The sequence below is a fragment of the Homo sapiens genome, chromosome 11 (genome assembly GCF_000001405.40).
Source record: "Homo sapiens chromosome 11, GRCh38.p14 Primary Assembly".
In the NCBI taxonomy this organism is placed as follows: Eukaryota; Metazoa; Chordata; class Mammalia; order Primates; family Hominidae; genus Homo; species Homo sapiens.
In genome coordinates, this window is record NC_000011.10 from 5,660,986 (window position 1) to 5,677,799 (window position 16,814).

The following is a 16,814-nucleotide window of genomic DNA, read 5'->3' on the forward strand; positions in this document are numbered from 1 at the left end:
GAGCCGAAATCGCGCCACTGCACTCCAGCCTGGGCGACAGAGAGAGACTCCGTCTCAAAAAAAAAAAAAAAAAAAAAAAAAAAAAAAAAAAAAAAAAAAAAAAAGATTAGATATATGTTTAGGCATATTATGAGATTTAACTTATGTATCTTATTGATACTGAATAGGATCAAGGAGCTCAGAACATAATTGTTACCTTGTGACAAGTATAGCATCAAGAAGGAGTATTGGTTGCAATGTCCAAAGAAAAAAACCAAAGAGATCTCTTTTCCAAAGAGCTCTCCTCTGCCCGATGCTTATTCCATCCCATCCCTCCAACACATCATATAAACGTTCTTTTACTTTTCTCTCCCTTTGAATCTTAGAATTGGCTCTTCATCAGGGCACCTTCTCTTTAGCCCCTACGAACTCTCATTCTGCTTCTTCGTATTCTTTGTCCTCCCACTGGTTTCTGCTTGAGGCCTGCTCCCATTCTTTACTCAGTGTCCTGCAGAACAGTCTTCAAGCAATCCCTGTTTTTTTTCACAACCTCTTTTCTCTGTGCTTCTCCCCAGATTGTACCAAAATTCTAGCCAGATATGCCTAATTAATGGCCCAGCATAGATCTGAAGTCTCAGAATAGAAGACGACATAATTGTTACTCAGAGGTTCAGAAGTGATGGGGAGGGAACATCCTAGAACTGATACACAGGCAGAGAGAAAATCCACAGTTGACGTCCATTAGCCTTTTGGAGCACAGGTTGCCTTCTTCAGCCTTTTACTGAGAAGACGGAGTGTAACTCAGAGCAATTCATAAGCTTCATATTCTTTTCAGCTGAGAGGTTCATTACTAGGGCCAGGAGCATCTGTTTGAAAAAATCCTTCAGTGTGCAGATCTTTTCTGTTGTATATACAAATTCAGGTCTTTATTGTTGTGTAACTGGGTACTTCATCCTGAGCTGTGGGACTTGGCTTTCCAGGAAATGAAAAGGCATTAATGTCCCTGGAGAGTCACTTGCCAATAATTCAAGCTAGTCCAGACTGTTCCCAGTGAGTGAAAGCCTCAATCTTCATAGCATTGGGTGACAGGAAAGCAGAGGTAAAAGGGAAAATTTATAGCATCAACCTCCTCGGTTTCCCTGGATGGTGCTGAGGTAGAGAGGTGTGTGCACACACATAGTTACTGAAAATATTCACCTTGGAATCCCTTCTCTGACTAAAGTTACCACAAAGATAGAGACCTTAAAATTTCTGTGGGGAAGCAGGGTGAAGAGCAGAGACTATTTGATGAGGTAGACCATTAAAACAAAACAAAAAACTTCAGCTCAAAACTTGGGAAAGAGTTGGAAATAAAAATGCCAATAGACATAGGGATCCTACCATGCCCTTCATAAACATCCGTTGCAAAAATAATTCTCCTCACTGAACAAGGAGAACAAGTATTTTTTTGTCATTTATGAAAATTACCATGCCTTTGTTACTTTAATGAAGAGTCAGGCTAACCTGGGCTCACAATTCACTTATCGATACCATTGTTGAGAAATGCCACATGTACTTCTGACTTTATCTGCATCACTGTGCAAAATACGTTTTTACTACTTGGCAAACAGGAAAAATTTACAATGAAATTAGAGTACTCAGAAATACTTAAAACAACTTAAGACTAGGCAGCTATGAAATTAAGAACAAAGATTTTTTTTCCCATTTATAAACACTTATTTTAAAACTTTCTACAAGAAAAATCTGTGATTTTTAACTTAGTTCTTGTATTTCTTCAAACGAAGGGAGAAAGATAATTTTGAAAAGAACTATTACATATTGTTAAAAATTATTGCTTTCAGTCACAGTGAGAGGGAACCAAAAATTAATAGACACCATAATGAGGCCGGGCATGGTGGCTCACACCTATAATCCTAGCACTTTGGGAGGTAAAGTGGGCAGATCGCCTGAGCCCAGGGCTTCGGGATCCGCCTGGGCAACATAGTGAAACCCTGTCTCTACCAAAAATACAAAAAATAACCAGGGCGTGGTGGTGCGTGACTGTAGTCCCAGCTACTCAGGAGGCTGAGGTGGAAGGATGAACCCTGGAGATGGAGGTTGCAGTGAGCCGAGATCGTGCCATTGCACTCCAGCTTGGGTGACAGAGACAAACCCTGTCTCAAAACAAACAAACAAACAAACAAACAAACAAACAAAAAAGCCCAACACCATAATGGATTACCCCTTACATGCTAGAAATGAGTGAAGCTATTCAAAAAACTCGTTTAACTTTTAAAAAACTACATCAGCTAATTTTATTATAATTATTTTTTACAATTAATAAACTGATTCCCACATAATTCAGTTTGTTTGATAAAGACTAATATGTAGCAACACTAGAATTACAATAAAATCCTAAATATATGTGTGTATTATATATAGAAGGCAGAATTGAAGTCATTTTGACAGTAGTATCTGAGATCTAAAAAATGAGAATTTAGTAAATCCAATCCTAGTTTCCCTGAAGGCACAACCTGTTCCATGAGACATTAACAGAGTTTATGTTTTTCAATAATTTGTAGAACAAGTACTTATTAGATCAAGACACTTAGATAGATGCTTTATACTTCAGGAATTTATTTTTTCACAATGATCCAAAGTATTAGATGAAGGTTTTTTGTTTTATTTTGCTTTTAATTGACAAATAATAAATATACATATTTATGTGGTACAGTGTGATGTTTTGATACATGTATACATTGCGTAATAACCGAACCAGGGTAATTAGCATATCCATCACCTCAAATATGTGTCATTTCTTTGTGTTGAGAACTTTCAAAATCCTCTCTTCTAGCTATTTCAAAATATATGCAATAGGTTATTGTTAACTCTAGTCACCCTACTATGCAATAAAACATTAGCACTTATTTAATGTGAAGTTTTTAATACAAAAATTATTTTAAGAAAATAAGCACAGGCTGGGCGCCGTGGCTCACGCCTGTAATCCCAGCACTTTGGGAGGCCGAGGCGGGTGGATCACCTGAGGTCAGAGGTTCTAGACGAGCCTAACCAACATGGGGAAACCCCGTCTCTACTGAAAATACAAATTTAGCCAGGGGTGGTGGTGGGCACCTGTAATCCCAGCTACTTGGGAGGCTGAGGCAGGAGAATTGCTTGAATCTGAGAGGTGGAGGTTGCAGTGAACCGAGATCGTGCCATTGCACTCCAGCCTGGGGAACAAGAGCAAAACTTCATCTCAAAAAAAAAAAAAAAGAAAAAAGAAAAGAAAAGGAAATAAGCACAGCCATTTAAGTATGTTATTCACAGTTACACTGCTGGTATATGGAGAGACAGGAGTTGAACTGAGATCCTCTAGATACAAAACCTCTATACTTAAGAGTATACCATTTATGATATTTTCTCTTTAACTCACAAATAAGGGCATCGAGGGTAAACTGACACAGGGCTAAGGACTCATTCATTGGTGAACAATTATCACACGATGATATAGAAAGGCTGTTGAAAAGCTTTTCTTCATCTTCTTAGTCAGTGTCAGAGGCAATTGGGTGATAAATATCTGGCAGAAGTAATACCTAAATAGCGGTCTCATTTTATGAGGTATAGGTCAGTTTTCCTTAGGAGTACGGAAAATGATGAAAAAAATTGCTATCAAATGTCAATAAAATATTGGGGACAATATGGCACAAGGCAATTATTACATTTTACTGATGAGTGAAGGACGTTCAAATAGAAAGAAGGGAGACAGCAAGGAAAAGATGGTTAAAATGATGCAAATGAGTTCAGGTGTATGAGATGCACCTGGACAAGAGGTGCTGTACAGAAGGGGCTGAGTGTGTAAGAAGGTTCAAGAGCTTGGTGAGCACAGAGTCATGGGGACTCCACATTTTCTAGGATTTAAATATGGAAATACAGGCTGAGAAAAAGAACAGTGAGAAAACTTATAGATGAGAAATCCATGGTTTGTGATATTGAAGAATGAGACAGTGCAAGCCTCATAGTCTAGGAAAACTCCAACACGATCAGGACAAATAATCACAGAGAGGGGCACAATGAAAGGAACAGAAGGAGTATGGAAGGAACTATCCTGGAAAGCACTACATTTAACTCCTTCCTCTAACCCTATAACCCAGTAGCCGTATTTAGGTTGATAATTTTCATTTTTTTCAATATTACACATTGCATCAGGTTGGAAGCCAGCACATACCCCCAGGATCCAAGCAGTTTTCTTGGACACGTCTACCTCCCAGTAATGTTTCCCTGATGTGATACTTTGAGAGCCCAGGATGCCAGTACAATAATTGAAATTCACAAATGTCTGGTATCTTGTCCCTCGTGCCCCATATATTATCTGTGGTTTCGGAGAGCTCACTTGTCTCTTATCTTCAGAAATGACAGCACATGAAATGTTGTTTGGAGCCACTGTCACATCAACTGTAGAAAAATTAACAGGTCAGCTAAGGGATATAATGTAACTTTATTTGTGATATGAGAGAAATCTTGATAAAGACTTGAGAGAAAACTGGGAGGAACCTTGTTTAGAAGTTATAAGGAGGGGTAAGTTATGTGTGTCTTGGAAGGAGAATCATAAATCTTAAAACATGAGCCTAATAGAGAACATAAAATTCTAAAAGATAAAGATAATAATAATGATAAGCCGCAGGGTGGCTTATGATAATGTGACTTCTCCTTACCCCAGTAGCGTCGGACATCTGTCAGCTCTGAAATGATAAAAATGCACAATATTGAATACAAACAAAGGAGTCAGCACTGAAATTCATTTTCTCTCCAGATTAGGGAAAGAGTAGGTATGCCCTATGGTAGGGCAGTAAATTGCTGAATGATGAGATGAAACAGCCACCTAGCCATTTCCCATTAAATATAATCCCATCAGCAGCAGACAATATCTATCCTCCCCTATCCCCTCTATCCATATTTGGAAACTGCACCCTCTTCCCTATTTAGCACCCTAACACCACTTGAATTCCATAACCCTGTTGTTGATCTAGCTCTCCTCACCTCTAAACACTTCTAGCATTCCTTTCAGATCAGGAGCTCGAAACACTCTCCTTTGATTTTTTGGAAAAGTTTCTGGCTTCTTCAAGGTCACGTTCTCCGTCCTAAGAATTAAAAAAAAAAAAAAAAACTTCCAAACCTTTGACCTTGTGTCCGTGGAACACCCCTGACTTCCTATCATTTCAACCCATTGAGGCACTTGAACTCTCTTCTTGGGGATCCTGAGAAGGGAGAGTGCAAACTCTTGACCCTGGAGGCAAACAAAATGTTCTCATGTTTGCCTTCCCACTTACTTTCTGTGAGAACGTGGGAAGATCTTAACCTCTCAGAAGCACAGTTTCTTCCTTCTAAAATGAAATAATTAACCTCTCCCTGTCTACATTCTTAAACTCATAGGACATAAAAAAAAAAAAAAGGATTTTAAAACAAAACAAAACAAAACTTTGGTGCCTTACAAAAGAAACCCTAACATTTAATGGGTGGAAACATCATCGCTATGTATGTTGAGTTCCCAGGGAGATGGTTAGAAAGTGAGGTTGCAGAACCTGGCTCCTGGGTGTTTGACACATATCAAGAGAGGAATCCTGTTTGGAGAGGCCTAAGACCTTCAAAGCTATTCCCAGCAGGGAGGTACTCAGATAACATCTAAGGTTTCAGATTTCCGGGAAAAATTACAAACACTTGGCAAATGAGAAATTATGTGCACTAAACTATTACTGGCCTGAATATCGTGTGGTTAGAAAGAACTTGATACCACCACGTAGGTGTGCGAGGTGTGCGATTTTAGACACAAGAATAGCACCTTTTTATGCTCTTGTAAAGAATGCAACTGAGGTGGATCAATTCTTTGTACCATGACCACATATTATCCAGAATATTATTTTGAAATATTATTCCGGAAATAAACATCTGATTTTGGAAATCTAAATATAAATGAAGAGGAACTGGTCTTTTTCCAGGAGGAAAATATAAACATGTGGGAATTGTCCCAATGGACAATTAGGGGTATATAAGAGAAAAAGAAGATATGGCCCATCCAAAATAAATCAAGAACCTATTAAATACAGAAAGAGAACTAGATGTAGGTAATAAAATGGTGATGGCGCAGGGGTCCAACACTGCAACACCTTCTCCCTGAAACCACTACTGACCCACACTCCGAGTCTCCACCACCCAAATTTTCTACCATAGAATCTGGTCTATTCCTTTTCTTTTTTTTAATTTTATTTAATTTTATTGATTTTTCTAAGACAGAGTCTCACTTTGTCGCCCAGACTGGAGTGCAGTGGCATGGTCTTGGCTCACTGCAACCTCTGCCTCCTGGATTCAAGCAATTCTCCTGCCTCAGCCTCCCGAATAGCTGGGATTACAGGCACGGGCCACCACGCCCCCCTAATTTTTGTATTTTTTTGATAGAGACAGGGTTTTGCCACGTTGGCCAGGCTAGTCTCAAACTCCTGATCTTCCTGACTCGGCGTCCCAAAGTGCTGGGATTATAGGCTTGAGCCACCACACCTGGCCAAATCTGGTCTATTCTTAATAGTTATAGAACATTCGAATGCTGATTTATGACCAGAAATTTATGATAAAACAATATCGAAATTTTTCTGCCCTGGGAGATGTTTTATTCTAATTAAACCCAGGACAATTCTAATGGCTATAAATCTCTCCTCACTGCACAAAAGGACCATCTCTGTCCTCCCACACATACCTTTTTATGACGCCATCCACACCCTAGGAAGAAGAGAGAAAACATCAATTAAGAAAGAAAGAGTCTCTCCTCACTTATAAAGCTTCATCACATTTCCCCCGGTTCCTAATGTGCTGAGAATGGAGATGGTGACAGTGTGAAAGACAAAAAAGCAAAGATAAGACTCAAGGCAATCATCCCAGAAGACTCATGTGAGATTTCCAAGTTCCCTTAAAAGTAGAAATAGCTTTCATCCCTGTGGAAGAGGCTCCTGGTTTCTGCAGATGGGACATGTTTAGAAGGAAAAGAAGTGACTGACAATTTGTTTTTCTCCAAACGTATATGGCTCTCCATGAAATGATTTAAATAATTAGTGCTTCTTTGATTTATTAAACAGATGTACAGCCTAGGCAACATAGCATGACCGCATCTCTACAAAAAATAAAATAAAAAAAAATTAGCCAAGCATGGTGGCATGAGCCTGTAGTTCCAACTACTTGGGAAGATGAGGTGGGAGAATTTGAGCCCAGAAGTTTGACTGAGGCTGCACTGAGCTAGGATCACACTACTGCACTCCAGTCTGGGTTTCAGAGTAAGACCCCACTTCTAAACAAAAAGAAAATCACAAAAATAAACAAGAAAACATATATATATAAACTTATTCTCCAGGCATTATGTCACATTTTGAAGAATCAAAGATGAATGAATAATAGTGCTCAAGATGTTTACGCGGCCTTTGCTGAGGGTATAAGCAAACAAGTGTACTAAACAAGTATAGATATTTTTCTTTCTTTCTTTTTTTTTAAGAAGGAGTCTCACTTTGTTGCCCAGGAGTGCAGTGGCGTGATCTCGGGTCACTGCAACCTCCGCCTCCCGGGTTCAAGCCATTCTCCTGCCTCAACCTCCCGAGTAGCTGGGATTACTGGCGCCCACCATAATGCCCGGCTATTTTTTGTATTTTTAGTAGAAATGGGGTTTCACCATGTTGGTCAGGCTGGTCTTGAACTCCTGACCTCAAGTGATCCACCTGCCTTGGCCTCCCAAAGTGCTGAGATTACAGGCATGTGCCACGACACCCGGCCTACGTACTTCTTAAGGTTGCTCTCTTTTCATTTTAGACATTAACTGTAACTGACTTCATTCACTTCCTTAAGTTTGACACACATATGTGCAACTGATTTCCAATTCCCTACTTTTACCCAACTTTGTCACTTAAATGCAGTTTAATACATTCAGTAGTGAAGGAGCAACAAGGACCAACAACTAAGAATTTTTATTATGTAACACCAACCATACTGTCTTCTCTCTTATACCACATTGTCCATAATATTACTAATATCTACTCAGTCATTGTCCTAAAAACTACATTTACTCTGAACTCTAGTCTCTAACAGGACAGTTTGGTCTACATTCTTTTTTTTTTTTTTTTTTGATACGGGGTTTCGCTCGTTTCCCAGGCTGCAGTGCAACGGCGCGATCTCAGCTCACCGCAACCTCCACCTCCTGGGTTCAAGCGATTCTCCTGCCTCAGCCTCCTGAGTAGCTGGGATTACAGGCGTGCGCCACCACGCCTGGCTAATTTTTGTATTTTTAGTAGAGACAGGGTTTCTCCATGTTGGTCGGGCTGGTCTTGAACTCCCAACCTCAGGCGATCCGCCTGCCTCAGCCTCCCTAAGTGCTGGGATTACAGGCGTGAGCCACCGCACCCAGCTAGTTTACATTCTTAATGGTTTTAGGTAATCTACTCCTCTTTATCACCACAAATACTGTTTTGTTTTAGCAGATATGTACCAATGCAATGTCTTTGGTCTCCTTTATGCCAGACACAATTTTTCCACATAGATTTTTTTTCAAGAACAAAGCCAATAGCTGGATCTACACATACAATCAAATAGTTTTGCTTTTTGTATTAGTACTTTTATGTTGTATGTAACATAAACCAAATAAAACTGGATTAAGTGGTGAAAAAAACTTTGGAAAGGGTAATTACAATTTCAGTCACAGCTGAATTTTGAAACTCAAACCTTGTCATCAAGATCTGGTCTATGGGCTGGGCGCAGTGACTCCTGCCTGTGATCCCAGCACTTTGGGAGGCTAAGGTGAGCAGATCACTTGAGGTCAGGAGTTCAAGACCAGCCTGGCCAATCTGGTGAAATCCCGTCTCTTCAAAACATACGCATGCCTATAATCCCAGCTACTCAGGCGGCTGAGGCACAAGAATTGTTTGAACCCAGGAGGCGGAGGTTGCAGTTATCCAAGATCACACCACTGCACTCCAGCCTGGGCAACAGAGCGAGACTTCATCTGAAAACAAAAAACAAAAATATGATCAATGTCCTTCTCCAAATTCTCCCTATTCCTCTACATTGAGTTTATTCTCTGTACATGAAGGAAATGTAACTCTCCTGATATAAACCCCAGCAGAAAGGAGAACTTCTAAGTTTTAACATAAAAAACTTTTAGGCTTGCATGGCATTTGTCTGTGTTGGATCAGATGCCCATCTTTTTTTTTTTTTTTTTTTTTTTTTGAGATGGAGTCTCACTCTGTCACCCAGGCTGGAGTGCAGTGGTGCGATCTCAGCTCACTGCAAGCTCTGCCTCCTGGGTTCATGCCATTCTCCTGTTTCAGCCTCCCGAGTAGCTGGGACTACAGGCTCCCACCACCACACCCAGCTAATTTTTTTTTCTTTTGTATTTTTAGTAGAGATGGGTTTTCACCGTGTAAGCCAGGATGGTCTCGATCCGCCCGCCTCGGCCTCCCAAAGTGCTAGGATTACAGGCATGAGCCACTGCGCCCAGCCCAGATGCCCATCTTAAAAGCACTACTGCACTGTGGCTGGAAACAACAGGAATTACATATATTAACTTAACTAGGAGTAAGTTATATGCAACCCTGGCCATGCTAAAGACACACACATATGGAAAGGATAAGTGAAACAACACATCAGTGAGAAAATTGTAGCAGATTTTTAAACAGCCTTAACTTTGAATTAATCTGGGCAATCTCACTTACCCAAGCATAGATTCATCAGGAGACGACAGAAGCCTTACTGCCTTGAGGGGATTGAACATAACTTATATTCGAGATTAGAGGCAAACCAAAGATACATGGACACACAGGACAAAGCTAGGATCCTACACTTAAAAATTATATTTTAGCTTTCTTTAAACACAGCAGAGACATTAGCAACCACAGGGAAGTAAATAAATGAAGGTACAGAAACACTTCTTGCTGGGTAGAGACTAGAGGATGGGAATTCTCAGAAACAACAAAGTAACAAAAATGTATGTTTTGGCCAGCTGCAGTGGCTCATTCCTGTAATCCCAGGACTTTGGGAGGCTGAGGCAAGTGGATTGAGACCAGCCTGGGCAACATGGTGAAATCCCATCTCTACAAAAAATACAAAAATTAGGTGAGCATGGTAGTGCGGAGCTGTAGTCCCAGCTAGTCTGGGGTCTGAGGTGAGGGGATTGCTTGAGTTCAGGATGTCGAGGCTATAGTGAGTCAAGATCGCACCACTACATACTAGCATGGGCAACAGAGTGAGACTCTGTCTAAAATATATATATGTTATTTACAAAAGAAATGTGTACACATACAAAGAAACAAGATAGAATACCACAGCTCAGGGGGATTAAAAAAAAAACACAAAAAAACCCCACAAAACAATAAATAGAAAATATCCCCAAGTGACCCCAGATGTTGGAGCTAGAAGATAAAGACTTCAAAGCAACTATTGCAAATAGGTTAAAAAACTAAGGAGAACTATGCTTAAAGAATTGAAGTATAAAAACAATGACTCAAAAAATAGATATGCTCGAGAGATAGAAATGATAAGGAAATAAAAATTCTGAAAATTTTAAGTAAAATAACAATAATGAAATATTTGCTAAAAGTGCTCCACAGCACACAAAAAGATCATTGAACCTGAAAAGCTGCATCAATAAAAATTTTCTGATTTAAAGAACAGAGGGAAAAAAGACTTAAGAAATAAAAAGAGCCTCAAAGACATGTCAGATGTCATAATGTAGCAATGTACATGTAATAGGTCTTCCAGAAGGAAAGAAGAGAGGAAAAGGTTTTAAAACCTGTTTTAAGATCTATTACATGTATGTTGCTACATTTTCAAGTAGAAAAAAATAATTGGGGAAAAATTGTTACATTCTATAAAAATTAATATTTCATCTATATTAATATCTAAATCTATGTTCAATGAACCCCAAGTTAAATAACTAATATGAGACCCACATATCATAGAAAAACTTCCAAAGGCTACAATCAAGGCAAAGAAAAAACTAAAGCAGCAAGAGAAAAATTAATCATTACATAAGGAATGCTTTCAACATGATTAATAGCTGACTTCTCATCTGAAATAATAGATGAGAGAAAAGACTGGAATGACTTATTGAAAGCACTAAAAGAAACTGTCAACTCCAAACTCCATATAAAGCAAAAATTTTCTTCAAATATGAAGAAAAAAATATTCTCAGATGAAGACTGAGAGAATTTGTTGCTGGAAGATGGAGAAAAAATGTTTTTTCCTTTTTTTCTTTCTTTTTTTGAGACAGAGTCTGACTCTGTTGCCCAGGCTGCAGTGCAGTGGTGCCATCTCGACTCAGTATAACCTCTGCCTCCCAGGTTCAAGCGAGTCTCCTGCCTCAGTTTCTCAAGTAGGTGGGATTACAGGCACGTGCCACCATGTCCAGCTAATTTTTGTATTTTTAGTAGAGATGGGGTTTCTGCATGTTGGCCAGCTGGTCTTGAACTCCTGATCTCAGGTGATCCACCTGCCCCAGCCTCCCAAATTGCTGAGATTACAGGTGTGAGCCCCTGCAAAATATTTCTTCCCATAAATATTTCTTCCCAAAAATAGTTTTTAAAATTTCTTCAGTTGAAATTAATTTCCTCCAAAGATTTACCCAAATTCATAATAAACCTAAACAAAATGGAAATACTATAAAATGTGAGTTAAGATAAAAGAATCTATAGTTTATTTCCCAAAGTATTTTCTTAATAACTTCAAAAGACATTAAGTTTATTACAAAGTAATTCAATACTATATTAATAGGTTATGACATATATGCATGTGAGATATATGACAAAATGATAACCAAAGATGAAGAAAATGAAGCAATATTGAAGGGAAGTTTCTGTATTTTACTGGAATTAAGTTACTATTAATCAGAAGGTGGCTGTGATAGGACAAGATGCATATTGTAATCATTAGAGCAAGCACTAGGAAGAGTACTAATGTCATACAGCTGAAAAAGAGAAAAACTAAAAATCTACATTGGAAAATATTTATTTAACACAAAGGAAGCCAGTTAAGGATGCAGAAAATAACAACATCAAAAAAGACAGGAGAAATATAGAAAACAAATAGCAAAATGGTAAATTTAAGTAAAACTATATCAATAATTGCATTAAATGTTATAATGAAAACCCAAATGAAAAGTCAGAGACTGTCAGACAGACTGGGTAAAGAAGAAGATTCGGTTATCACTACCTATAGGAGAGCATATATTAGATTCAAAGCATAAATAAACCCAAAGTAGAAATAAAAATATATATACTATGCAAGCAGTAACCATAAGACAACTCAAGTAGATATATTAATATTAGACCAAAGATACTTTAAGGCAAGAACTGCTATGTGAGAATAACAGGAATATTTCATAATGAAAGAAAGGTTCAATATGTCAAGAAGAAATAACAATATTAGTGTATCTTCACCTAACAACAGGGCTTCAAAATACTGAAAACAATACATAAAGAATTAAGAAAAGGAAAACTGACAACTCAATAACAACTGGTGAAGATTTCAATAATTTACTCTCAGTAATTAATAGAAAAACTAGTATAAAAACCATAAAGGATATAGAAGACTAACACTATCAGTTAGCTTGACCTAATGGACATCTTTAGATTATTTCACCAAATGAATGCAGAATACATATTCTTTTCAAATGCATATAAAACATTTTCCTGCTCATGTAATGTTCCATACCATAAGATAAGTTTCAATACATTAACAAATGATAAAATAAGTTATCTGATTACCAAGGAATGGGATTTGAAATCCACAGCAGAAGAAACATTAAAAAAATTCTTCAATGCTTTAAAATTAAACACTACTTTTCTGAATAACCCAAGAGTAAACCAAAAAATCACAAAGAAAATTAGAAAATACATTGAGCCAAATGAAAACTCAAAAATTAAAATGTATGAAATATAGTTAAAGCAATTCATTTATTAAACACTATATCAGAAAAAAAAAGATTTCACAGCATCTAAGATTTCACCTTAGAAAAATTAGAAAAGGAACAACAAAAAACTCAACGAAAAAGATGAAATAATAAAGATCAGAGCAGAAACGATACAGAAAGGTTAAAAAAAGATAAAATCAATGCAGCAAAAAGCCTTTTTAATTTCATAAAAGTTAACAAAATTGACCAAATATAACTAAAAGGACAAAAAAAGGGAGAGAAAACAAATCACCAAAATCAGGAATAAAAGAGGAGACATAAGTGTGTGTGCTGTAGATAGAAATGAAAGGAATTGCAGATGGATGTCAGCAAAATAGTATCATAGGAGTCTCTAGCAGTTGTCTCCCCTCAAAAACAATTTAAACAACCATCCAAGAACTAAAACACCTCACCAGAACTAAGAAATAGGGTGGGAGCATACAGCATCTGGGTATAACACAGAAAGAAGAAAAAGACTCATGGAAGAATGTAGGAAGGACAGTTTTACATTTTCCATTTCACCCCTCTTACAACTCTAGGCAGCATAGCGTGTGAGAGGTACCCTCCACAAGGAGAAAGAGGGGAAAATGAGCACCAAATGTTACCTCAGACCCTAACACTGGGCTCAACCTAGTAAAACCCAGCCTGGCAGGTCTGAAGACACCAGACTCCAGACTGGTATCTATGGATAAGCCTCCAGGCCGTATCTCACAGCCTAGGCTCTAGATCTGTGCAGTGGACTCAGTCTACGAGCTATCTAAATGCGAGGTTGCCCTCAGTGGTAGGACCATTCTCAGTTGTGTTGGAACAACTGGATAGCCATATGCAGAAGACTATCTCACACCATGGAGGACTTTAAGTAAAGTAAGTCAGGAACAGAAAGACAAATACTGTATAACATCACTTAGTATGTAGATGTAAAAAATAGTTGAGCTCATAAAAGTAGAGAGTGGAAGAGGGGTTTCCAGGAGCTGGGGTGTAGGGAGAGTTGAGGCCGATATTGGTAAAAGGACACCAACTTCAGAATGAAAAGATGACTATCTTCAAGAGATCTATTGCAGAATGTGGCAATTATAGTTAACAATGTATTGTATTCTTGAAAATTGGGATAAGAGCAGTTTTCTTTTTTTTTTGAGATGGAGTCTCGCACTGTTGCCCAGGCTGGAGTGCAGTGGTGCAGTCTTGGCTCACTGCAAGCTCCGCCTCCCGGGTTCACACTATTCTCCTGCCTCAGCCTCCCAAGTAGCTGGGATTACAGGTGCCCGCCACCACGCCTGGCTAATTTTTTGTATTATTTTTTTTCATTTGTGGGGTACAATGCAAAATGAAAATATGCGGCCCCTTGTTCAAAATTTATTAAACATTTCAAGATGATGACAACAGAGCATTAAATCAAATGCAGGTGAGAGAGGGGTAGACACATCCTAAGGTGCCCTGGGGTTCCGAGGAATACAGCATGAGAAACACTGAACGTAGAGCCTGAGACAAGGACCTGGGTCCAGGTGATTTACCTGACCCCAGGAAGCAGGAATGAGGGAGCAGGGAGGTAAGACAGGGAGGAGGAGAAGCCAATGTATGAGTAAGCTGTTGGGGTTGTTTCTGGGCATTATGGGATCATGATCCCACCAAACCTCCTGGGAATGCCCCAGAATCTCTGCCCGAAACACTGAGAGCTGAGGCATTTCTCCATCAACTCCCAACCCCATTGGTTGAAGGATGCCCCTGGGGGTGCTAGCTTTCTTGCATTTCTTTTTTTTTTTTTTTCTTCTGTTGTGTTTTTTTTGTTTTTGTTTTTGTTTTATTATACTTTAAGTTTTAGAGTACATGTGCACATTGTGCAGGTTAGTTACATATGTATACATGTGCCATGCTGGTGCGCTGCACCCACTAACTCGTCATCTAGCATTAGGTATATCTCCCAGTGCTATCCCTCCCCCCTCCCCCCACCCCACCATAGTCCCCAGAGTGTGATATTCCCCTTCCTGTGTCCATGTGATCTCATTGTTCAATTCCCACCTATGAGTGAGAATATGCGGTGTTTGATTTTTTGTTCTTGCGATAGTTTACTGAGAATGATGATTTCCAATTTCATCCATGTCCCTACAAAGGACATGAACTCATCATTTTTTATGGCTGCATAGTATTCCATGGTGTATACGTGCCACATTTTCTTAATCCAGTCTATCATTGTTGGACATTTGGGTTGGTTCCAAGTCTTTGCTATTGTGAATAATGCCACAATAAACATACGTGTGCATGTGTCTTTATAGCAGCATGATTTATAGTCCTTTGGGTATATACCCAGTAATGGGATGGCTGGGTCAAATGGTATACTTCAGCAAAGTCTCAGGATACAAAATCAATGTACAAAAATCACAAGCATTCTTATACACCAACAACAGACAAACAGAGAGCCAAATCATGAGTGAACTCCCATTCACAATTGCTTCAAAGAGAATAAAATACCTAGGAATCCAACTTACAAGGGACGTGAAGGACTTCTTCAAGGAGAACTACAAACCACTACTCAAGGAAATAAAAGAGGATACAAACAAATGGAAGAACATTCCATGCTCATGGGTAGGAAGAATCAATATCGTGAAAATGGCCATACTGCCCAAGGTAATTTACAGATTCAATGCCATCCCCATCAAGCTAACAATGACTTCACAGAATTGGAAAAAACTACTTTAAAGTTCATATGGAACCAAAAAAGAGCCCGCATCACCAAGGCAATCCTAAGCCAAAAGAACAAAGCTGGAGGCATCACACTACCTGACTTCAAACTATACTACAAGGCTACAGTAACCAAAACAGCATGGTACTGGTACCAAAACAGAGATATAGATCAATGGAACAGAACAGAGCCCTCAGAAATAACGACGCATATCTACAACTATCTGATCTTTGACAAACCTGAGAAAAACAAGCAATGGGGAAAGGATTCCCTATTTAATAAATGGTGCTGGGAAAACTGGCTAGCCATATGTAGAAAGCTGAAACTGGATCCCTTCCTTACACCTTATACAAAAATCAATTCAAGATGGATTAAAGACTTAAACGTTAGACCTAAAACCACAAAAACCCTAGAAGAAAACCTAGGCAGTACCATTCAGGACATAGGCATGGACAAGGACTTCATGTCTAAAACACCAAAAGCAATGGCAACAAAAGACAAAATTGACAAATGGGATCTAATTAAACTAAAGAGCTTCTGCACAGCAAAAGAAACTACCATCAAAGTGAACAGGCAACCTACAAAATGGGAGAAAATTTTCACAACCCACTCATCTGACAAAGGGCTAATATCCGGAATCTACAATGAACTCAAACAAATTTACAAGAAAAAAACAAACAACCCCATCAAAAAGTGGGCGAAGGACATGAACAGACACTTCTCAAAAGAAGACATTTATGCAGCCAAAAAGCACATGAAAAAATGCTCATCATCACTGGCCATCAGAGAAATGCAAATCAAAACCACAATGAGATACCATCTCACACCAGTTAGAATGGCAATCATTAAAAAGTCTGGAAACAACAGGTGCTGGAGAGGATGTGGAGAAATAGGAACACTTTTACACTGTTGGTGGGACTGTAAACTAGTTCAACCATTGTGGAAGTCAGTGTGGCGATTCCTCAGGGATCTAGAATTTTTTGTATTTTTAGTAGAGACGGGGTTTCACCGTGTTAGCCAGGATGGTCTCAATCGCCTGACCTCATGACTGGCCCGCCTGGGCCTCCTGACCTCATGACTGGCCCTCCTGGGCCTCCCAAAGTGCTGGGATTACAGGCGTGAGCCACCGCGCCCAGCCTTTACTAGTGAATTCTATTGAGCATATAAAGAAGAAATGATAGCAGTTATTTAATTCTTTTCAGAAAATTA

The 16,814-nt window shown here is 38.9% G+C and overlaps 1 protein-coding gene across 19 annotated transcripts in view; it reads right to left on the reverse strand.

Moving 5' to 3' along the window:
- The window catches only part of TRIM5 (tripartite motif containing 5), a 96,440-nt gene that overhangs the window by 72,351 nt on the left and 7,275 nt on the right, over positions 1–16,814 (reverse strand). For 3 of the 19 annotated variants that reach the window (XR_007062518.1, XR_007062517.1, XM_047427783.1), the window contains exons 5-6: positions 6,704–6,726; positions 4,671–4,697 (exon numbers count right to left, since the gene is read on the reverse strand). The exons of 4 other annotated variants lie outside the window; for them this stretch is intronic. Coding sequence is in view for 11 of the 15 variants with exons in the window: in XM_047427783.1 (XP_047283739.1) it covers positions 4,671–4,697; positions 6,704–6,726 (50 nt within the window). In the remaining 4 variants the exon portion in view is untranslated. 12 more of the 19 variants (XM_005253183.4, NM_033034.3, NM_033093.4 and 9 more) reach the window with 9 other exon arrangements.